Raw genomic sequence first — 25930 nt, forward strand, 5'->3', positions numbered from 1 at the left:
TCACTAAGCAAATCTTGCTGGTGTAAACTTCTTAGTCATTGGCCAGTTTGTTACAAAGATCTATGAAAAATTCTTATCCCAGTGAGCCAGGAGAAACTTCTCCCAGGAGATCCTGAAATCTAAAGTAGGAACACATGCCTCTCTATGTGACATCCATTGTGACACAGATGGTTTGGTCCTTTCCAATAATAAAAAAAATGGTGCGTTTTGGAATACTTGTGCTTTTTGAAACTATAAATCACATTATGAGTATAAAGAACACAGCTTTTGAAAAAAATAAACTTTTTTTTCCAAATGTTGGAGAAACCAGTGTTTCCAGTTGATTGACCTAAGATGGGTGTTTTAGGCCCTTTTGGATTTTTAAACTGTTTTTACGTGTATGTTTCTGTGTGTTTGTGTGGTGGCTTGTATTTATGGATGTGTGCTGTTCGTTGCTATGATAGGAAATAACATTGAAAACTGGAGTTATATGTTATTAAGAACATAACAAAAATAAAAACACTGTGTGAAAATCTGTGAGTTAGGATCAAAAATTTTATCTTCAGGCAAATATATATAGCCTTAAAAAAGTTATCACATGACATATTGTAAATAAAATGAAGTAATGTTCAACTTGAAAAGTTAGAAAAGACAATAAAACTATTGGAGTAAGTAAAATAATTAAAAGATGATTAAATAATGATCAAGAAATAGAAACAAAAAATAGAAAACAACAGAAAATAGATTAGATAGATCCAAGAACTATTACTTAAAAGCAAGACGTACATAAACTGTTTAAACGTCTTGTACAGAAAAACAAAAATATAGTCATTATAAGAAGGGGTTATATCAATACTGAAGGGATTAAAAATATTAAGGAAAATGGATAATATTTTTATCAATGCAAATTATATAAATTAACTCATGTTTAAAAACATTAATAAACAAGATAACCTAGGAAAAGAAACCCTGAAAAGTTGTCATTTTTACCTCCAAAAAAATGCAGTGTGCTGTCATCTTAATGGATAAACCACTTTAAATTATTAACAGATAAGCAATTTTATGGTAAAAAAATTGATTCAGAAATAGAGGAAAAACTGAAAAGTGTCCTTTACCAAGCAGCATAATTTTAAACACCTGAAACAGAATCTGACGCTCAGAATAAATATCAGGGCCGGAGGTGGGGTGGTGATTCTGAAACCCCTGTTAGCCATTAGCCATGCTCATACAGTCACTCCCAACTATATGTTTGATATACTTTCTTAACCATTCCTGACTGAAAAACACTATAGAGTAACAAAAATAATTAGTAGTGTAGTAATAGATTGATACTTTATATGACGCAAACCTAAGACAATATAGTACTTAAGGAGAAAGCATTTCAGGCATACCCACCAAATACCCCCCAAAATAAAGGATGCTTCCCTTATACTTTGTTTAACTTAGTGATTCTTAAAGTTTTTCTGTCTAGTAAGAGATGAAAAAGGAATAACTGTAAAATTGGAAAAGCATATAAAGTTATTTCTGCCTATAAGAAATATGATTATGCCCTTATTTATACCTATGAATCTGAAAACTTTAAACTAAAAATACATGTTTTATAACACCTTTTAAAATGTACTGTTTTTATTTAATTTCAGTTTTCTTGTCAAAAACAAACAAGAGTGTACAATTAAAATTGATAACAACAAAGTATAAAATTCATATGAATTGACTTAACAAGAGATGTCCAATTCTTATGTGACAGAAGCCATAATAATTTGCCAAAGAACATGAAGTTTCAATAAAATGGGAAGGTTAAATATGATACAGAATTTAGTTTCATGCACACACATACATATGTATATATATTAGAATTCTAAAATTATCCTGAAGTACAACTGGAGGAATAATATTCAAGGGTAGCCAAGGGAGTTTCGAAAATAACTAAAAAAATTTTTTAATGAAATGTTTATATAATATTAGATGGATTAGACAAATGAAAAGGTCAAGAAACTGACCTACATACATATTAGAAGTGAATTTCTGTTGAGGTTGGCATTTCGGTGAAGCTGTATAAATGTGGATTATATGAGCATGATGTGATAATAGGTGAAAGGGTAGGGCAAATCATTATCTCCCTGTATATCAGATGAAACTCAGATTTATTAAGGAATAAATGTTAAATATATAATTACAACAGAATCCAAACAAACAAGGTAACTATATGATTTGGGGATAAGGTGAGCCTTTCTTTAAAAAAAAGGATAAAATGAGATATCTATCGATTTAATACTGTAGTAATTTGATACAAATGTAAAAGAAATACAATTACAATTATTAACAAAATGAGAAAAAATTTGCAAATCTTAAACGGAAAAAAATTGCGATATCTCTAAATCTAATAAGCAAATGACATATCAATTAAGCAGCAAAATATGAACAATCAATTTTGAAGAATAAGAAATACAGAGAGCTTCTTAACAGCTTCAGTGTTAATCAATGAACTGTTCATTTAAGTTATTATATCATGTTTCAGGTATCAAATTGGTAAACAGGAAAAAGAAAAATTAATGCCCACTGTTTCAGAGGTTTTCAATAAACATGTTATTTTATATTTCCTAAGAGTTTTTAATTTAAATAATAAAATCCACTGAAATGTACATCAAAAAGAAACATGCATACAAAAACAAAAGGAGCTTTATTGGAAATGTATAGGACAGTTCACAGAATTAAAAGAATTAGCTATGAACAGCTATGTAGAAGGAATTTGAAAGTTAGTCAATATCATTGAGCATAAATCAGCTCCATTTTTTTTTTGCACGCTATAATAAGTAACTTCTCTTGAAATGAGAATTTCTAGTAGAGAAAGTGACCAATTGATTTAACTTAGGTAATTTTTGCCACTTGTATGAATTAAGGTGAAAACTTTAGACGGGCTGTCTTGTTGACACTCATCCAACATGTATTCATCAGTTTCCCAAACGAGAAGTGGGATGCTGTTATCTGAAGTAAAGAGAGGCACTTGGTAGGCGAAAACAGTGGATATCCAGCTTGGTTATTAATAAGGATGTTAACAGTATTATTTTTTTTAATGGTGGGCTTACGAGATTTCTATTTTTCTATTTATGCTTTTTGCTTTTTTCTATTTTTTTCCTCAGAAATAAGACTGTTATAATCAGAAGTAAAAAGGTTACTGAAATATGTAACTGGAGAATATGTTGAGACACCCTGAACTGGCCCATTTTTAGCCAATTCATTTTTTTAATGTGCTAGATAAATTTATGCGTCCTAGAATCAGAAGGCTTTGAATCAATCAAGTTCTGGTTTTACCAGTAATGAACATTAGTAAGACATTTAACTAGTGTTGAGTCTTGGAGCTATTAACTAGAAATTATGAATTATGTTACTATCTATATAAAACTTTTAAAAATTTGGCTTAAAAAATTACATCCACATGTTTAATATATTTATAAGGCAGAATTCCTTGAACATATATATGACCTTTGATGAATGTTTGTTGAATATTTTCAGAGTTTCTTAATGCCAATCCCAAATATCACTTAGTCAAAAACTTATTTATCTTGAGACTTCTAACTTCTGGTATTATTTGGTTATATTGTTACCGTTTCTTCACTGAAAAAAATGTCACCTCCCAAATGTCTCATCCTTGTGTTTTATTTGATTTTGAAGATGTGGGTCATCTTTTATGATGAACACAGGTTCTATTTTTATATCATAATCTCATGATGATTATGGTGAAATGAACAAATTAATAAATGGAAATAACAGTAGAATATTTGGTGGATTGTTAATAGATATTAAGTACTCTAGCAGATAGAGTCTTTTATTTTATTTGATCTCTATATATTAATTCATCTGTCTGACAATAAAATGTGTTTTTAAAGACATGCTTTATCAAGATGTATTTGAGGCATTTCCCCCCACTGATCTATTGTACTTAAAAATTTTTGAAAGCTCAAATTACACTAAATGACTGCAGAAAAAGTCCCAAATAGTAAGTTGCCAATTTGAAACTTTTATTAGTCTCAATTAGTTAATTTATTGAACTAATTTAAATAGATCAATAAATTAAGGTTTATAAAGAATATTCGGGCAGTCTTTTTCTTAAGAGAATCCTGCAAGACTGAGGCATAAGATACAGTCTGTTGATGTTTTTATCCCTTTCATTTATCCAAACAGTGTAAAACATTGCTTATCACATTGGTATGACTTACAGGATTCAACAGAACACTTAGTCTTTTGTCTTCATTTTCCCCATTGCTTTGTATTTCTTTAGATTTAAGTTATAATTAACTTGAATATTAATCTTAGATGGCATGATTTGATATGTTAAAACGAAGAGTTTAAGACGCCGAGCTCTGTGGTTCTCGCCTTAGTAATGTACACATTACAGTTGCCAGTTGACAGGTTTCATTTATCCATGGTTTTCTTTAAAATGCCTATTGATGCAAACCTTTTTAATAAGTAACTCAAAAGGAAAAACACACACCAATTAAGTTGACAGTGATCCCATATATTTCTTCCTCTAATTTCCCTTTTGTGACTTCATTTTCCTTCCCCCATGCCTTCCTTTCTTTCTACATACATGCACACTATCACCATTCTAGTGGCCCCTGCCTTTAGGCACCATGTTTAAGCTCTCAGACCTCTCTTAAATACTTGTAACACTATCAATACTACCTATTTTGTTAGCATAATTGTATGGACTACATGGCAAATATTTCTGAAGCACACTGTAAATGTCTGTATAAATGCAAGGATTAGCGTTGCCCGCTGAATCTAGACCTGATGGATTATCATAAAGAAGACAAGTTTGCATATCTGAATTCAATTAACAGTGGTACTTGTTTGTGATGGAGTTGGGGTTTCATTTAACTCAATCTCATTAATTTATGCAAGGACCAAATTTGTTTAGTGTAGTTTATTTGTTAGAAGAAGCTAGCGGGCAGAGGATTCATCAAAATAATAACCAAAACACTCAGAAAAATCAATAGCTACTTTTCAACTCCTGATCTTTGTCCTCACCCAGAGTGAGTTCTAAGCAAAATTGTGCAGGTTATCATTCCTGGATTTCGCGCTCCCTCTCACACACAAATCCTGAAGAGCATTATCATACCCATTGGTTCGTTGTGCAGTGGATCACCGAGGCATTTCTTTATGTGTACTCTTTGGCCTACCATTCCGTTCTAATGGACAGTCATAGTTCATAGTGAGTTTGAAGTCTTTCTTCTAGTTAATCTGTCAATTTTTCTCACACAGTGCAGCTGCTGTGAAAGAAATTGGAGCTGTTACACTTTGTGCTTTGGTACAGTTTGTAAAATGCTAGGTAGGAGACAGGAAACCAAACACAGCATGCTACTAATTTCTTTAAAACGACTGATGTGCTAGAACTCAGAGTCTGTGTCCCAGAGAGCTGGCATCCCTTTTTTTCTGAGAAGACTAACGTCGTTTGAAAGTGTTATCTTACTTTTGCATCAACGATATAGATGCCTTTGGTATGACTTACAGGATTCAACAGAACACTTAGTCTTTTGTCTGCATTTTCCCCATTGCTTTGTATTTCTTTAGATTTAAGTTATAATTAACTTGAATATTAATCTTAGATGGCATGATTTGATATGTTAAAACGAAGAGTTTAAGACGCCGAGCTCTGTGGTTCTCGCCTGTAGTTCCAGCTACTTGGAAGGCTGAGGCAGCAGGACTGCTTGGGCCCATGATATTGAGGCCACAGTGTGTGATGATTGCAACTGTGAATAACTTCTCTAGCCTGGGCAGGGTAACGAGAACTTGTCCCTAAAAAAAAAAAAAAAAAGAGTATGTGTATATTGATATGTAATCATGTGACTAGACCCTTCACTGTATACTATATAGGAAAAGATATATAATATGCTAGAAAAACACACTATAAGAACTGTTCTTACCAGAAAGTAAGCTTATTCCAGAAGAGGTTGGCCCTGTCTCCATCAGGAATTGTCAGAATTACAGGGATATAGCAAAGTGTTCTTTTTGACACATCAGGATTCCTTTCTCTTGAATGAAATGACTATATTCTTCTTCATTGAAGCATTTGTATAATTAATCAAGATGTTTGTATATTACTCTCCTCCTAACATGTGAGAGCTGCAGGTATTTTAAATGAGAATGCTTCAGGATGTGTAGTACTGTCTCTGTGTGCAGATTTACTTTTTATTTTATACGTCTGGTTTTTTTGTGTGTATGCATGTGTGTTGTGTTGTGTGTTTTCAGACAGGGTCTCCCACTGTCACCCAGGCCAGAGTGCAGTGGAGCTCACTCCACCCTCCACCTCCTGGGCTCAAGGGATCCTCCTGCCTCCTCCTCCCAAGTATCTGGGACTGCATGTGCATGCCACTATGCCTGGCTATTATTATTATTTTTTAATGTAGAGATAAAGTCTTGCTATGTTGCCAAGGTTTGTCTTGAATGTCTAAGCTCAAGCAGTCCTCCCCACTTGGCCGCCCAAGTTGGGGATAACCCCACTTGGGATAATCCCCAAAACGCCCAAGGTTTTGGGATTATAGATGTGAGTCACTGCACCTAGCTGTTTATTTTACGGAGGGGCCAGTTAACTAATTCCCTCTTCTAATAAAATTGTTTTGTAAATCCAAATTTGTTCTTGCCTGTTACTACTATTTAGAATTTTGCAATTTTATTATACCTAGTCAAAAGAAGGAAGGACGATTCAAAAGGAAGAGGAAAGAAAATTAATATTAATCAATATATATCAAATGCATACTAGGCTTTTAGCATCATCTCAAATATTTTATATATATTATTTAACATTCACAAGTACCACATAAGATAAATATTACAGTTATGATTTTACACATCTGTAATATCCAGAGATATTCAAGAATCATAGCCAGTAAGTTGGATGAACATTGCCTAAAAAACACATTTTTAAAATCTGAAAGCCAGAACACTTAACCCTTGAACAACGTTAGCTGCATGAATCCACTAATACCCACATTTTTTAAAATAAAAGTTACACCAAGGGTGCCTGCCTTTCCTGCCTCGCCTTCCATCTCTTTCACCTCTGTCACCCCAGAGACAGCAGAACTAATCCCTCCTCTTCCTCATCCTCTTCAGCCTACTCAACTTGAAGATGATGAGGGTGAAGACCTTTGTGATGATCCACTTCCACCTAATGAAAAGTAAATGTTTCCTCTTTCTTATGATTTTCTTAATAACATTTCTTTAGCTTACTTTACTGTAAGAATAATGCATATAAGATACAAAATATGTGTTGACTGTTTATGTTATCGGTAAGACTTTTGGTGAATAGTTGGCTATTAAAGTTTTGGAACAGTCAAAATTAAACACCGATTTTTGACTTCATGGGGGTTGGTACCCCTACCCTCCTCGTTGTTCAAGGGGCAACTGTATATTCTTTTTGGTGTATATAGAGACCCTGTAAAAGAGAATTAAACTTTTTCAAGTCCCTCATTTGTAATAGTAATACATGTATAGCCTTTAACAATTTTAAAGCGTGCTCTTAAAGAACATTTTCTTTGCCCATCATAATAAATGCTTATATTAGGCATTATTACCTCCGTTTTACTTGTTAAAAATCCTGGACTTCTACAATCTGTCAGAGTTGGAGAATCAAAGGAGAAAGTGCCTTAGCAAAGAGAATATAGCTGAAACAAGAATCAATCAGGCTGTTGGGGATATAATTCTGGAATGAAAATTAGACTGAATTTGTTCTTAAGCATCTTTGTTGTTTGAGCTCTTTGTTTTCTCATGTTTAGAATGAGAAGTGGGGGGATTTAATTACGTTTAGTGACCTTTCAAGCTCTAAAATGTTTTGCTACTTGAAAGTGTACTTAGATGTGTTAATGTTATATACAGAAAGAAACTGACTGAAGCTACTTAATAAAAAGTAATCAAGATGAATTATAACAGAAATAGTAATATAAGATAGGAAATCCTGAACTAATATTAGGTTATGTGCCTAAATTTGTGATTTTTATTTAAACCTGGCCTTAATATTTGGCTTCATTTACCTTTCCCTTTTAACCTCAGCGTCCCACCTTAACATAGAATCAATCTATGCTATTTGCTATGTATCCCAGGTGGATAACTGTTCTTGTAGTTGACCTTCATAATGTAACTTTATTGGTATAGTTAAGGTTAATGGCACATTAATTTTCTATAAGACATCAGTCAGTATCCCATTTTAATTTACCATTTTCATGATGACTGCTGTTCTAAGTTGTTTGTGTCATTTTTGGCTGCCATAAATTATCCCGAAGCAAATATCAATGTGAACTCAGAACCATGCATGCTGATGACTTCTGAAATTATTAATGCCAGTACATAGGAAAAAGAAATACATGAGTGCACATTTGGTTGATAATTTCTTTATAGATTACCATTAACCTCTTTCTTTAAGGGAACAGCATAAGTACATCTGTGTTTATTTGCTCTAAGGGAAACAACAGTTATAATTAGGAATAATTATAACAGCAGCAGTGAAACTCTAAAAAATATCCTGGAATTACTATCATTCCTAAAATATTTTTATTTCAGTGGAAACAGCCACCATTAGGATCTCATGGGAGAGTTCAAAGAGAAATGATAGATTATTTCAGATAGACCCTTGTTGGGTGGCTGAATTCTCAGAGTGGAAATAGCAGATAATTTGGGCTCTGTTCAAAGCAGTCTGAAGAAGCTCTGTCCTATAGCTCTGAAGGGACCCATTTTAATTCACAGAGCACATTAATTGTTATCCCCCTTATAAACATGTCTTTGTTTGAAGCATTATCTCAATTGTGAAATGTGGCTTAGAACAATTCTAGATAGTATAGTGGTAAAAAACTTCAACTCAGGAGTCACATAGATATGGGTTCAAATCTCATCTCCACCATTTATTAGCCATGTACCCCCATGAAAATTATTTTAAACTTTTAGTTTCCTTAGCTTTAAATGGAAATAATAAGGCTGTCCCCACAGAACTGTCCTGAGGGTTAAAGAATCTTTCCAGAGTGACCTGTACTTAGTAAATAGCTCCCAAAATTGTGGAATTCTGTAGCTGTTTAAATGAGAAGAGATTTTTATTAAGAGGTTTCCAAATTTGTCCTCTTTAGCATGCCATTATTGTCACTTTCAATCACTTGGGTTTTCAGTACTATTATTTTATTATTTTTTCTTCATATCAGCTTTAAATTTATTCTCTTTTCATACTTAGTCTTGTCAAAGCCAGATTGTCTCGGAGGTCTTGATGTTAGACGACCTAGTATCTCAGGTTTCTCTTTGTAAAACAATTGAATTAATACATGGATGTGGTTAGGAAAGTCATTTGTGGTCACATAAACTTCAGAATCCTTTATGTCCAGTTCTTCTCTGTCACTTGGGTATTCCTGTTATAAGAGAGAAAGGAGTCATATTTAGTGACATGATTTGACCTTCATTTTTACTTAACCTTTGGTAAGTAACAGTGAGCTGCTTCAAAATATAGTAGTATTTGTGTATTAAAAACCCACATTCATGATCCTTAATATAAACCAGGCACTGTGGGAAACCACAAACAGAGGAAAGAACATTACCAACACCTGTAGTTATTTATTTTATGTGCTTTGGAAAATAAGTTAAATGCCCTCAGGAGCAGTGTTCATACATGAAAAAATTCTCTACTTATGCCACAAGGTCACATAGGATTGTCTGTATGATAAAGTATACATTAGATTACTCTATCTATTTTGTAACACTTTATAGCTGTAAGGTTGTATTTTTAAACGAGCAAAAATGAATCAAAATTTAATTTGAAAGCAGGGACTCAAACAGATACTTCTGTATCAATGTTCACAGCAGCATTACTTAAAATAGCCAAAAGGTAGAAACAACCCACATGTCCATCAATGTGTGAATGGATAAACAAAACATGGTGTAAACATAGGACGGAATTTTATTCAGCCTTAAAGAGGAATGAAATTCTGATACTTGCTACAACATGGACGCACCTTGAAAACACTAACTGACTGAAATAAGCAAGACACAAAAGGATGAATAACTATATCAAATATCACATGTAAGGCACCCAGAGTAGTTAAATTCAGCAAGACAGAAGGCATAATAGTGGTTAGCAGGGGCTGGGGAGTTATTTTTTTAATGGGTACAGATTTTCTATTGGGGATCATGTAAAAGTGTTGGAAATGGATAATGGCAATGGTGACACAATCTTGTGAATGTACTTAATGCCACTGAATTGTACACTTAAAAGTGGCTAAAATGCAGACTTTACATTATGTTAGCTCTCCACAATAAAATGTATACTGAATTTTAAAAAGTGAACAGAAACTTAGAAACTAAAATACTAAGCATCTAATTATCTGAAATATGCTGTTAAGTGTCTTTTTCTTTTATTGAGCAACTAGCTGTGTGTATTTAATATTCTAAGATCTTTAAAATAGAGGAAAAGTTGCTCTTTTCCTATTTAACATTCTAAGATCTTTAAAATAGAGGAAAAGTTGCTGTCTCAGATTGGTGGATTTCACATTGATGGAATACTGGAGGATTACCGAAGTTCACTTTCCTGGGGGCTCTAGTTCATGTCTGACTCCTGTCATATAGGCCCAAAATTGCCATCTCAGCTACACAGAGCCTCAGCTTGATAAGCAAAGGTATTTTTCTTGCAAGAGCTCTCTTGCCTCTGGAGAGACTGATCTGGAATGACTGTCAATAACAACAACCATATACCTGAAGAATCGGTCTCTTCCATTTTAATTTCATAGACATGCACCGCTGGAACTATGATTATTACAGGATGAAGTCTCCTATAGGAAAGCCGGCTGAGCTAACAAAATCAAGCCCCATTAGTCTGTCCCTGGAGCACAAACTCTAAATGGCCAGGGGAGGGAAAGTCACACAGGAGAGGGCAAGTGATTGGAAATTGTAGAAAATGGGAGAACGTTGTTGCGTGCCATGGTCTCATGGAGATTCATGGAACCTGGTAAATTAAAGTGCACATCCGTCCCTTAAATTGTCATGCTGCTTCAAGTTTACTTAACTTTTGTACAGACTTTTACAGACTTTTAGAAGTATTTGTACAGACTTTTAGAAGTCTCTCCTTCTTCCATTGCTTGTAGCTCTTAGATTTAAATGATCACCTGTTCTTTTTTGTAGTCAAGTTGGGATGTGCCCCCAAACACGTAACATGTTTTGAAACTAAACAAATATCCACCATTAAATTAAGTTTCTTTGATGCTTTCTTTTTTCCTGGCAGAATTTGGTCAAAGCAACTATTTCATTGCAACCCTGACTTGAATAAACAAGTACATGCATGCTCATATAGCTGTGTATACTCATGTGGGCTGCTTTAGTGCCTTGACTCAAATTTACATTACTTTCAAGTATAAACAATACAATACTAATACAAACAATTTTGGGAGACAGTAAAGTTTAGTACTGGGCTCTATAATATGCTTGTGTGTTTTTGGAAATCTGTACCGTGCATTGGCAATCCAGAGAGTGCTGGTGGAGACAGGACTAACACAATGGTTCCCAACTAAGGTTATTCCTAGAGAAGGGCTTCTCAACTTCAACACTGTTCACATTTTGGGCTAGATAAATCTTGGTTATGGGGAGCTCTCCTGTTCATTATAGGATATTTATCAGCACTCCTGGCCTCTACTATTAGATGCCAGTAACATCTGTTCTCCTCTAGCCATGGCAATTAAAAATGTCTCCAGATATTGTCTAGTGTCCTCTGGCGGGGAGGGGGCAAGAAGAGCAGTTTAGAGCATGGCATGAAATCCCAGGGGCAGGGTGTTGGGCTAATTCAAAGAGGCTTAGGGTTTTGAAGCAGTGAGTGGTGAGAGGAGAAGAATGATAGAAGAAATAACTGGATGTGTCTGCAGCATTTTCTTCCCATGGCATTGCTTCTTGTAAGATACACACGCACACTCACACTCATACTTTTGTTCTACATAACATATATATTGTGTAGTATGAAGTTTATGAGTTATAACACTGTCGTCAGAGTTATACCTTTATCCTATATCCAGAAGCATAAGACGGTAACTTAAAATCTGACTGTTTTATCTAAAAATGTGCTTTCTTTTGGGTATTGTCAGGACTCTTGGTTTCAGTTTTAATTTCTATAAATCCAGAGATTTGAACAATTCCCCTGCTAGCTTCTGTTTCTCTTTGTGTCCCAGATCTGTTTCCCTCCATCTATAGCCAGGACAGGAGTAACTTGATTCTGAGAACCCTGAGCCTACCCCAAAAGGTAAAGGAATCACCTTTCCCTATGTCCACAGATTAAAATGAGAAAAACATTTTTGGGTTTGCTTGAGTCTTAAGTGTTCTTCTGACCTAGGCACTTCTCCAGGGGGCTGGACAAGCCTGGCTCATCTAATTTCTACCCTCCCCTAGCCCCCAACTTTCCAACCTCGCAAACAATCATAAGGAGTGCTCCCCCCACCTCAAAAGCAGAGATGCTTTATTTAGTACTCTGAAGACAAAATGAAGCTGCAATTTCTTTTTGAAAATCTTCCCCCCAGTTTTTCATTCCCTTATTTTCAGTGAGATATTCATCCTCTACTTTAAATGTACATTCTCTTATAGTAGTTCTCAAAGTCTGGTCGAGGAAACCTGAAGGGGTAGTGAAAACTTTCAAATGGATGTCAGATCAAAGCTATTTTTGTAATAATACTAAGAAGGTATTTGCCTTTGTCACTCTCAGTCTCTCACAAGCATACAGTGGAGTTTTCCAGAGGCTGCGTGACATTTGATGTCACATAAGAGCGAATGCAGAAGCAAATAGGAGGATCCATTTGTCTATGATTAAGCCAGACATTAAAGAGAGATTTACAAAAATGTAGAACATGCTATCCTCCTCATTATTTTTTGCTTTATATAATATTTTCCCATTGAACATGCTATTTATGTTAATATGTAATAGACTTACTGTTATTTTATGAATTGAAAAGTATTTTAGAAGTTTCCATTTTAATTTCTAATGTAGTAAATATCAATAAACCTAATCCATTAATTAAAACTCTTTAGCATTCTCCCTAATTTTAAGAACGCCTTTTGTTTTTATGGTCTTACTTGAATACCTGAGTCTTCATCAAGTTCTTGCCACGATGGCTTTTAGAACTCCAACATTTCCAGCCCGGTGAAAGCCACAGAATCTTTTCAGCTCAAGCCCTCCAGTGGATGTTCACAATTAAAAATTTCCCATTTTTTCCTGTATTTAGATGTCTCTTTGCTGTACAACAAGGAACTTACCAGCGGTCACTACACATACTGGATTATAGGCAAGATAGCCATTTAAGGGTAGCGAAAAATGTAAGAATTTTTATTTATATATTTTATGTGATTTGAAACGATTGTGATTTATATTTCATTATGTATATAACATCAGTAATAGAGTACATATGTGTACTTTAGAAATAAAAATACCTAATTAGAGGTGTATGCTTTATTTTCTAATAGAAATATGCTATCAACAAAAGTGATACTTATCCTATAATATTTGAGCCTGTTTTGGGGAAAATTATAACTTGATACAGAGTGAAAAGAATAAATATTTCTTTTAGAGGATGTGATGGTTAATTTTATGGTTCAGTTTGACTGGGCCACAGAGTGCCCAAATATTTGATCACATTATTAGTCTGGGTATTTCTGTGAGGATGTTTCTGGATGAAATTAACATTTGAATTAGTAGATGGAATAAAGCAGGTTGCTTTCCCAAATGTGGGTGGGCCTTATGCAATCAGCTGAAGGCCTGAATAGAACAAAATAGTGACCTTCCCCTAGGAAGAGAGAATTTCCCTGTCCCTACTACCTTTGAACTGGGACATTGGCTTTTTTCCTGCATTCAGATTGAAACTGAAACATTGGCTCATCCTAGGTCTCACACCTGTCAGCCTTCAGACTGGAAATACAGCATCTCACGTCTACTGGGCCTCAGGCCTTTGAACTTGGACTGGAAATAGACTGTCAGCTCTCCTGGGCCTCTAACTTGCTGACTCACCCTGCAGATTTTGGGACTTGTCAGCCTCCTTAATTGTGTGAGCCAATTCCTTCTAATAAATTTACACACACACACACACACACACACACACACACACACACACACAATCTTACTGATTCTGTTTCTCTGGAGAACTCTGCTACAGGAGATTACACAAACTGTAAAGGAAATATACTATCGCATAAATTAAGCAATGATCTCTATAACTTCTTCAGTCTGAGAACTCATTCCTTCTGGTCACTGGATGCCTTACAAGGACAGAATAGGGAAATAGGTTTTACTTGAAGCAAGAATAGGAATGGCTGTAACTGTTTTTGAATTAGTACTGTCTGTGAGCCCCTGGGCAATGAAGGTATTATTGTCTCCATTTTACAAACGCAGAAATCAAAGCTAAGAAAGAATACTTTGCCCAGGGTCCTACAGAAGTAAATAAAGTAGCTAGAATTTGAGCCAGCCTTTTTCTAACTCCGAGGCCTATCCTCTTACTAGTTGACTATCCATAAATCAATTTTCTACCTATAAAGCTTCCTTGGACTTGAGTATCCATAAAACAACTTCCCACCTACAAAGATGTAGGTAGGAAAGATAATTTTCAAAGTGTTTTAAATGTAGCATTGCCTACCCTGGAGTTCAGTTAAGCCACAACTGATCTGTGGTAATTTGGGGAAATTTCATCAAGTTGGTCTAGAATTACAGACTCCTGGGAATAGATGTGTGTGTGTGTGTGTGTTTGTGTGTGTGTGTGTCTATAAAGTGCCAAGCTTATTTTCCAAAAGGATAAAGGTATTTCCCAGTGAGTAGGAAATGTTTGCATTCTTCATGTATTTGTGCATGGATTTCCAAATTGATGGATTTTGCTTCAAAATTAGTCAAGAAATCAATCCTGGAAGTTATTGTGTGTGTAGCTCAATTCAGTAAAGTGGCAAAATATTATTTATTTCATCCTCCTTATGCTATTTAGTTTCCATCTCATTCCTCATGGTAATGGAGAAATAGTCTATGATATTGTAAACACATATGGATCTTTAAGATTTATTTTATATTTGTTTTAGCGTTCAGGAGGCACTTGGCTTTTGCATCTCTCCCTCTTTAGGAAAGAAAACCAGGTCATGCCTTATATTTTATATATGTTTTACATGTATTTCCTTTCAAAAATGTGTCATGGTATACTTAGTCCTTCCCTTTAAAGAAAACCATAATGCAGATCTCATTAAGGAACATAAATAGTGATACATATATATGGAAAAGGACACACATTCTTTAGTGCAGTGGTGGGAACTAGTGATCTTCCTCCAAATGCCAGAATAAATAGATGTTCCTAGCAAAAAGCAGGGACTATATTTGGAACCTCCCCTATTCTGGAGTTCCAGATCTGATTACTCATGTAGAATCTCCTGTTTCATATATAGGTGACAGTGTTCAGGACTCATTACCCCAAAACATGGCATCTTAGCATTTGAGGAAACAGCCAAAGCAGACCATACAAACTAGAAAGAATTCCCCTCACCCCTTCCCCACTGAAGTAGGTCATAAGACCCTCATCTGGAGGAGTCCTGACTTATACCCAGAGGAAAGCAATATCACACATGGTTGCCAAGAAGAATTTGAACAAACAGAATTTGCTAAGTTCTTCCTGGTTTATTACTGTTATATTATACCCTTTTGTCTTCCAATCATACTTCTGCACGGCTGTCCATTAAAAATACACAGTTTTGGCCGGGCGTGGTAATCCCAGCACTTTGGGAGGCCGAGGCGGGCGGATCACGGGGTCAGGAGATCGAGACCATCCTGGCTAACACGGTGAAACCCCGTCTCTACTAAAAATACAAAAAAATTAGCCGGGCGTGGTGGCGGGCGCCTGTAGTCCCAGCTACTCGGGAGGCTGAGGCAGGAGAATGGCGGGAACCCGGGAGGCGGAGCTTGCGGTGAGCCAAGATGGCGCCACCGCCCTCCAGCCTGGGCGACAGAGCGAGACTCCGTCTCAAAAAATAAAAAAATAAAAAACACAGTTTTCCCCAGGTCTTTAATTATGCATTTCTGAATAATCTCGCATCATGTAAAACTTACGTTAAATTAATTGTATGCATTTCTCTTATTAATCTATCTTTTGTTGTAGGGGCTTTAGCCATGAACATTGATAGGAGTTAGAAATATTTTCTTCCTTACACGTATACAGTTGGCCCTCCATATCCTTGGGTTCCACATCTGCGGATTCAACCAACTGCGGATCAATAATGTTTGGAAAAAAAAAACAATAAAAAATAACAAAAATGTTAAAATACAGTATAAAATCTATTTACATAGCATTTTCATTGTATTAGGTGTTATAAGTAATCTAGAGATGATTTAAAATATACTGGAGGGTGTGCAGGAGTCACATGTAAATACGACATCACTTTATATAAGGGACCCCAGCATCTGCAGGGGGTTCTGGAACCAATCCCATGTGGATACCAAGGGACGACTGCATTCTCCAAATCCTGGGCATGGGCATACCATATTTCTTAACATAGCTGCTTACCATCTCTAATGTTGTCTATTTACCATTTTCTATAAATCTACTGGGTTTTAAACTAATTTTTGATATGAAGAAAGTTTATATCAATATAAATAGAAGTAAAATTTTTCACAAATGGAAAATAATAAAATAAAAATTTTCACAAATGGAAAATTAACATAAAAATAAATTTGCAAATATTTACAAGCGTAACATAAATACACATCAACTTAAACTCAAATGTTTACAAAATAAAAATAATACTGTCTACCAGCAGAAGTGCAATGACCATATTTTTTAAACTATGATTTCTCCTATATGTCTATATTTCATGGCTGAAATTGTAGTTCAGAGCTCTCACCATCGTTTCTACTACATACAAATCACTTATGTCAGTGGAAATGTTTTCTGCCAAGAAGTGCCAAATTGTGAGCCTCTCAGGCCTCCAGACCATGTTTCCTTCACTTCTAAACGCCATTATGTCACCCACTGCATAGTTATCTAGTGCATATAGGATAAACGCTCAACGAAGAAAGCCAGGTCATGCTTTACACCTTACATTTTGTTTTAGACATATTCCTTTTCAAAAATATATCCCTGTGTAATTAACCCTTCTGTCTTTAAAGCAAAGGAGTTAAGCACTCAAATGGCAATCACCAGGAATGAGGCCCACTACAGTCTAGGAGCACCAGGGCAGTGCAGTACAAAAAACTCAAGTAGAGAAACCAGTGATAACTGGGGAAAGTTACTTTGACTCACAGAACTTTAGTTATCACATCTATAAAATGAGATAATACACTCTGCCTTATTGAGGCATTTTTTTTTATTAAAAACAGCCTTTGCTTTGTACCAGGAAAAATTAAAAGCACTTAATAAGCATTAATTTATGTAGTCCTCCTAACAGCCCTTATGAGGCTGTAAAGGAACAAACAAACGTTTCTCTCTACTTACACTAAACATGCCACACTTTTTGACCAGATGTGTGGGTTTTGATTTCTGACACATCCATTTTCAGGTACATAGTTATGATTCCATTTAATTCCGATGCTGTCTACCTGGAGTTACAGTCAGAACCCACATGTTAAGAGCTCGGTCCCACGTGAATGCCCCCTACTTCAGATGCCAGTCCTAAATCGGGCTCCCCAGAACTTCTGGCCAATTGATATAAATTAGAGATTCCCATGACCGCCTCCTTGGGTTCAGCCATTTGCTAGAGTGGCTCACAGAACCCAGGAAAGTGCTTTACTTATATTTACTGGTTTATAATAAAGGATATTATAAAGAATACAGATGAACAGCCAGATGGAAGAAATGCATAGGAAAAGGTATGTGCGAAGGAGCACAGATCTTCCATCCCCAAGCACCTCCACATGTTGGGCAACATGGAAGCTCTCCAGTTGCAGTCCTTTTTGGTTTTTATGGCGACTTCACTATAGAGGCATGATTGATTAAACCATTGGCCAGTGGTGGTTGAGTCAACCTTCAGCCCCTCTTCCCTCCTGAGGCTATTTAGGAGTCTTGGGCCACCAGTCATTACCCTTCTAAAAGACTTATCACTTTGGAGATTCCAGGGATTTTAGGAGTTCTGTGTCAAGAAATGAAGAAGAAAGAAATGAAGACCAAATATATATTTCTTATTCTAAAGCACAATATCACAGAGGAAAAGAGGGTCAGTATCTTAATTTTATAAGGGAGGCATTTATAAGACACAGAGAATCTAAGTAATTTGTGGAAGGTCACTCAGCTAGAAAGTGAAGAGCTGGGTTTTGAAAACCCAGATTCTGGACTCAATCATTACTCTATGCTGTATTTCTTCTTAGAGTATATGAAATTATCCCTGTGAAAATAGTTAGACTCTGGCATTCTATAGCTGTTTTCTGTGACCTGTGCTCTATATTGTTTTTCTTTGCTTCACAGAAACGTAGGTACTGTTTTCCCCTAAGTTGTTAATTAATACTCAGATAAGGGGCAAGCACCTCTAGGAAAAATCAAATTATAAATGTCCAGTACACTTTTATATCACATCACATAATGTGACACATTAAACAGTTGTGGAATGTCAAAAATTGGCATAATAGATGACTTGGGAATGTAGAGTGACAAGTTTTCATACAATTGTGCCTTTTTTTGTGATAATGGTAAACTCTGGAAAATTTCATTTTCTGGTTCTGCAGATTGCCAGCACATTGACATTTCCTGTATGGTTTCCCAATGGGAAGGACAGAATTGTATTTAGCCAAATCTGATAATTTTCCTTAGTTGAAATTGAAGGGGCTAAAATGCCTACCTACACTTGGATATGGGCTTCAATTTTTTTTGAAGATACTTATTTTCCTTCTTTGTTTCTAGGATATAGAGGCAGTTCAGGTAGTTTTTCAGGATACTGCATTGTAGAAGTAGGCCCTTAGTGAATCAAGCCATTCATATACAAGTTGAGTAAGTGCTCAGAGTAGGTGTCTATATTAAGGACAGGGTCCTGTACATTGTGGGGTGCTTAGCAGTTTTGCCATCATCTGCCCATGAGATGACAGTAACAAACCCCATCTTCCCTATGATTATGACAACCAAAAATGTCTTCAGACTTTGCCAACAAATTACCTTTAGATGTAATCACTGATTTAGAGCAATAGAATTTTTGGCTCTGTAGGGTAAATGAAGTGCACCTGATAGCAATAAATGACGCATACCCTGAGAATGACCCTGTATGGCAGATGCACCTGAATGTGTGTTCCAAGCTAAGGAACTCGGGAATGGCCAACAGGGAGATTCATTCCTTGTCTATGAGGAACATCTGAACCTCCAGCCTGTCTATTGGAACTCAGGCCACACAGGGGCTCAAGACCCCGAGTTTTGGGTTGAATGAAGGTTGCCAGGTGGAGACTGTTTGGGAAAGGGTGCTGAGTGAAAATGCTATATAAACTGCATGCCCTTTGCAAATGATTGTAGTTTTCCTGCCCAGTCCCCTGCCGCTGGGCTGCGGAGTTATCTTGTCTAGCCCACTGCTACTGGGCTGTTTGTAAGGCGATTCTCCTGTCCAGCCCAACACCACTGGCCTTTCTCCGTGGTAAGTAAAGCTCCAGTAAAATCCCATGTCTTGTTTGCTGGCCCTGGGTCTCTTTTTCAGTCTCTTGAACCTGGTGCCATCCCCTTTAGAGTCGATAGGGGTTCAGCGTGACAGGCTCTTTGTTGTAAATATTTGAGATTGATGATATCTTTGCACATATTGGAAAACTTTAGATTTCAGGATAGTAACTTATGGGCCACAATGCCAACTACAGCTCCGGTAATGTTACAGTATGATGGTTTTTAATGTGTTCCCTGGACTAGCATTATCTTTTACAAATAAAATCAAATCACATCACTGGCTGAATGTTTGAGATGTATTCTCTTCTCATTTTAAGGTTTACGTAAGTAATCTCTCCAAATAAGTATAATATTAATAGCTGACAGATAAAGAGTCTTTTATATTTACAGGATGCTTTCAACTTAGTCTTTTCTTTAATTTCCCCAGTAACTCTGAGAAGAGTTTTTATTCACCCATTTGATTAGAAACAGAGACTTAAGAAGAGTAACTTCTGTCTATTCTGAGTTAGGGAGATCAGAAAATACCACTGTTCTGAGTAGTATTAGGTGAGAAGAGTTTTCTTGCTGATTAAAATCCTCAAGTAAAGCTCTTACATATAAGACTTTTATATATAAGAACAAAAAACCAAACACCGCATATTGTCACTCATAGGTGGGAATTGAACAATGAGAACACATGGACACAGGAAGGGTAACATCACACTCTGGGGACTGTTGTGGGGTGGGGGGAGTGGGGAGGGGGGAGGGATAGCTTTAGGAGATATACCTAATGCTAAATGAGGACTTGATGGGTGCAGCACACCAGCATGGCACATGTATACATATGTAACTAACCTGCACATTGTGCACATGTACCCTAAAACTTAAAGTATAATAATAAAATAAAATTAAAAAAAAATAAGACTTTTTCCTATCCTCGAGAGCAGTGTCAAAGGCTCATGACTGTTTTTCTCCTGATCTCCAAATTCTAAACCATGTGCTGCAGTTTCCTATGTTGATGTCACTGGTTGTTCACCCTGGGATGTCCTATAGACTGGAGCATCTGTCTCTATCCTCTCCAATGAGCTGTCCTAATTATGTTACATCAAGACAACTTGTGAAGCTCAGAATCTCAAGTTTCTGGCCTTACAACTGATGAGCAGCATAAGCCATTCCCACTGCTGTTCTCAATCCCCTCCCTGTCTTAGATTCATAGATCCCTAGGCTCTTAAGTGTCTTCCAGAACTGTTTATCTTGTAGTCAAGACCCAGAAATTAGACTTCCAGAAACATAGCTCTTCAAGGCAGGTTCTTCAAGGTGATGATGCCTGTGTCACCTTGATAGGAAACCTCCTACACTGTGTAATACTGTCATCTCAGGGAGAGCCACTGTTCATTAGCTTAAATTGTCAGCTTTATGGTTCAGTGAAATAAATACACATTTTCCCTAAGGTAATGACTTTTTTCTCACTTCGTGAGAGCTGTAGGGACCCTTGTTATCAAGAGATAATCATATTCTAGTGGTGCTACTTATTGTACCCAATGAAAGTCCCAAGGATGTGATTATCTCTTAATAACTCTAAAGCCTGTTATGTATCATCTTGTATTTTGTTTACTTTGAGTGTGTGGTGGGGAACCCATTAGTGATCTCTGTGGTTGATAGTATTCGTTGTGAAATGATAAAAGAATCAAATGACCATTTGTTTGCTTGGAGCTAGACAGCACGATTAGAAATGCATCCCAATTCTGACTGAAAAATGCATTTAAATGTAATCTGTTGCTTAGTATTAGTTTAATAACCCTGATGTTAATACTAAATTATATCAAGCAAAGCTAATGGAAATTCTGAAAATAAACATGGATAATTTAGTATCTACATGACCTTTACCTCCCACAGAAAATTCAGGTTGGGTTTTAACTACCTGTGAAGGAAGTAGATACCCATGAGAAATAACCTGCTGATTCTGTGATGGAAAATGCCATCAATAAGTTAAGCAAAACAGGAGAAATATAAGGAAAAGCCTGTTAAATACAATGGCCTTTAAGAATACGGACAGTTGTTAAATGGTAACTCTTACCTCTCACTTTAGGCTATCCTTTGATATTCAAATAATGTTAATAATAACAAGTATCATTAATTGAATACCTGCTATAGACTGGTTTGGCTTGTCTCATTTTATCTATTATTGTTATTGAGATGGAGTCTCGCTCTGTCACCCAGGGTGGAGTACAGTGGCAGGATCTTGGCTCATTGCAACCTCTGCCTCCCAGGTTCAAGCGATTCTCCTGCCTCAGCCTCCCAAGTAGCTGGGATTGCAGGTGTGCGCTACCACATCTAGCTAATTTTTTGTATTTTTAGTAGAGATGGGGTTTCATCATGTTGGCCAGGCTGGTCTTGAACTTCTTACCTCAAGTGATCTGCCCCCTTCGGCCTTCCAAATTGCTGGGATTACAGATAGGAGCCACGGCACCTGGCCCATTTTATCTTTTGAAGAACCTTTCAAGGTAGATAATTTTGGCCCTGTCTTACAGATGATAACAACAAACTACAAGAGGTTATATAACTTGGTTGAGTTCATGCAGCAAATAACGTGGTAAAGCTTAGACTCAAATATGACTTTAGAACCTATATTTTGTCCACTGATTATTTAAAGGCATAATGTACAGAGTGACTAAGCGCAATTATAGGAGACTTGTAATCAATGGTGATCACATACACATTTGTTGTTAGACAAATCCAGGTCTGACTCTAACAGGCAAAGTAAAGAGACCACTCTTTGGTCCCTCCTAATGTTATATGCTATGTCTGTGAGAATTGAAAGCTTTAGAGATGCCGCATCTGGGTTTTTGAACATGTTCGTTAGAATTATTTTCATGCTCTTACCTGTCACTTGGGAAGGGTTGTTTTTGTTCTTAATAAATAACCGACACACCTTTTGGTTTTGAGGTATTTGGAAAGGGTCTAGATCAGGACTGTTTGTTCCCTAGGGTAAAATCATCCTTTTTGACCTAGACCTTGCCAGCTGCTGCATCTAACTATTTGCTATTAGCTGAGAAGCTCTGCAGTCATTCATGGATTTCTGGTTCCTTTGTTGTAAAATTGCGAGTACATTTATGTTGACAGCAGCTGATTTGTTCAAAGATTGGACCCAATCTTTCTGGGCAGAGGGAGAGTCGTCTATTTATTCACCTGGTTGTGTATTAATTTCCTGCCTATTTTCACATGTGATTTTATTTAGTTTATAATAAAAACTTTAACTTAGGATAGCGGGTACAAGTTATGGATTGAACATGGAAAGTTTAGTGAATTTTTCATGATTAAAAAAATGATTATAATGATAGCATTTATTTTCTGCATAGTATGAACTGGGCAGTGTTCTCATGGATTACCTCAGTCTAGCCTCAAAACAACAGCTAAAGGTAGGAGTACATTAGGCTCATTTTATTCGAAAGGAAGCTGAGCTTAAAGAAGGTGGGTAAAATGAAAGGTCTTGCCTTGTGTTCGCCTCTAGGGAGAGACTATTAGCCAATCAAGTGCAATAGATTCAGTTTCTTTCCCCCTGTAAAGCAGCACAAAAGCGGCCCAGAAAAAAATTCTGTGGGTTTTTTTTTTTTTTTTTTAACCTTCTTTCAAGGTATGAAATTGGGTATCTACCTACTTGAATCATCTCTGTTCATGCTGGCTAACCTAAGATGGGAAGTTTTAACTATGTCTACTTTTTCCCCTAACAAGAATACAGCAACTGAACATTTTCCCAGTGAGGTGTGAATAAATAATTCCTGCTTATATAATCAGCAACTTCTCAACATCAACTGAGGTATCATTAGATATTTTCTTTTAAGATCAGTTATGAAAATCCACTGTGGAAGTGGAACTTATTTTGGCGTAACCCTTAGTTTATAATAACTAAGACTATACGTTGGATCCATTCAATCATTGAGCATACATTTAAGGAGCACCTGTTTTAGACCAGGTTGTACTAGACTGTACACCTTCAGACTGAAGAATAAGACAACACAGGTACATACTTTCCCACAGTAAAAGGTATGTGTGTTTTGGGGTAAGCCGAACAGTGATAAATATTTTGTGATGAGTGGTATGCTAAAGACATGTGCTGAGTGTAACTGGAGCACAAGATCCATTACGGTCCTGAGAGGTTATGGTTTTGTTAAAAGGATTATTTCAAAAGTAATATTCTCTTACTGTTTTAGATACATTTTGATGATGTTTGTTGTTTATTTGGGGGGGGGAGGTGGCAGAGTAGAGTAGTAATTTTATTTTGACAGCAAATCCCAGGAGGTCAGGAATCTTGGTCTGTTTCTTTTCTCCTAGTAAATACTTTTTGAATAAAAAAAATTAATGTCAATGTAAAAGCTATTGGTCTATGATAGTAAAGGAACAGTTGATTATGATTCATATTCATGAGCCAGGAATTTTTATATATGGAATTTCCTTACAAATTTGTAGGTTGTTAGCATTGTGACTTATTTGTATTCATTGCTCACTTATTTGTCTGCCTCATTTCTACAGGCACAAAGCCAGGACTTTGTATTACTCACAGAAAACTTAGCTTCAGTGGGCTTATGATTTCTTAACTAGTAACCATTTAGTTGTAATATACAGAAACTTAAACTAGCTCACATAATAAGGGTTGTTGAAACCATATGCCAGGCAAAATGATAGTCTTCTAAGCATAAAAAAATTATAGCTAAAACCTAACCTCATGGGGACTTGACTTAGGAAGTCAGGAAATGTGGCTGCCCCTCACCTTTTACCCTATTTTCAGTTCTTCATTTCTCATGTGGATCAGGAGTAAGGATGTATGTAATCCTAACTCTGGTTTTCTCTAAAGTCTTATTTTTCTGGTTCTCTCAAGACTGGCTTCTTTAACAATAATTCCAACTTTACATGCCTCAAACTCTCAAGTGTTGCAATTCAAAATCTCTGAGAGAGAATCTTGTTGACTTAATGTGGGTCAAGTATTAATTGATGGTTCAATAGCTGTAGCCTATTAGGTTGAATCACGTAGAACATAGGGCTGGTCTTTTCAGGAGCAACAGGTGGGATGCATTCTTTACAAAGGAGATATTGTTTCAGAGGCCTTCTTGGGGTCAGTCCCATATATTCCCCCTCACTCTTCTTACCTTTCCATCCTGCTTTCTATTCTCTTTGGCATTGCTCTTTGCTCCGTGGTAGCTAACTGACCTGATAAATGCATTCATGATATGTTAGTTCACCCAACAGATAAGTTCTTTTGGCCAGGATTCCCTCTGGATGCAATTACAAAAATCAAAGGAGTGAATTTAATAATGTTTTCTATAATGGGCAAGTATTTGGGAACATATGTTTTCTTGTGGTGCTGATACTGCTTTTTGTGTGTACAGTCACCATGCATGAAACTATCCATAATGTATGAGAATCTCTTGCCAATGTTACTGCTACTAGTGGATACTATAACTAGTGGCTAAACTGAATAGCTAGTCTGCATTATGTAATTTAATTATTAATTTGAGGATTGAAATAATCCTTTGAGGATGAATACTGTTATTGTCCCCACTTTAAAAATAGAATTGAGGATTATATCAATTAAAGAATTGTTCAAGATCACATGATTAGTAATAAATTGAACCAATATCCCATCCCAAGAAATTTATCCCGGAGCTTATGTTCTCAAACAAGAACAACATAATTATTTTAATGAATAAAATTAAGTTTTCATTTCAAGTATTATTCCACTGGATAGGGTAAATGTAATCTCTACCTTCTTTCTGTGAAGAAGAAAAAATATATATGACAAATTTTTAGTAATATTTGAAAAAACAAAAAACTTTGACCGATGTCTGTAGGATTATTATAATTTTAATTGTTATTGATAGGTAGGCTGGAGTTGCAAATGGTGCCAATAGCTGTAAATAGAGCTTTAGTTTTACATCAGTTGCTGTCCTTAATGTAAGAAAGATAGGTGTTTAGATACATACTAAACTTTTGTAGCTGACTAATGTATATACAGCTGGTAACTGACCATATTAAAACCAAACAGATGGTGATGTATTTGTGATTCAGAATTAATGTGAATATATAATTTTTCATAATCCATAGGAAACATTTTCTTACACATGTCATCATTTATGAAATTGTATTTGTTTTAGGGGTATATGAGAAAGGTCAGGGATTATTTTACATTTCTGAATATATTAGCAATATGAAGAATACCTGTTTAGTCTCTACCTTCTGGTTGTTATCGATATTATCCTGAGAGTAAAGGTAGTTAGGTATTTAATATAGAGATGAATTATTTTGCAATTCAGCCAGAGAAGGCATACACTTAAGAAAAGATCATGTTTTTATGGCTAATCAAGAAACTATAACATTTTTATCCAATCAATTAT

At 35.9% G+C, this 25930-nt stretch overlaps 1 protein-coding gene across 31 annotated transcripts in view; it reads left to right on the forward strand.

The window, feature by feature from the left end:
- CNTN4 (contactin 4) overlaps positions 1-25930 on the forward strand; it is a 959094-nt gene that overhangs the window by 213576 nt on the left and 719588 nt on the right. Inside the window, exon 1 of one of the 31 annotated variants that reach the window (XM_047447516.1) lies at positions 6413-7154. The exons of 29 other annotated variants lie outside the window; for them this stretch is intronic. The gene's annotated coding sequence lies outside the window, so the exon portion shown is untranslated. Of the gene's footprint in view, positions 1-6412; positions 7155-12938; positions 13294-25930 lie in introns of those variants that run through there. One more of the 31 variants, XM_047447534.1, reaches the window with a different exon arrangement.

Source organism: Homo sapiens, chromosome 3 (assembly GCF_000001405.40).
Source record: "Homo sapiens chromosome 3, GRCh38.p14 Primary Assembly".
Classification (NCBI taxonomy): domain Eukaryota; kingdom Metazoa; phylum Chordata; class Mammalia; order Primates; family Hominidae; genus Homo; species Homo sapiens.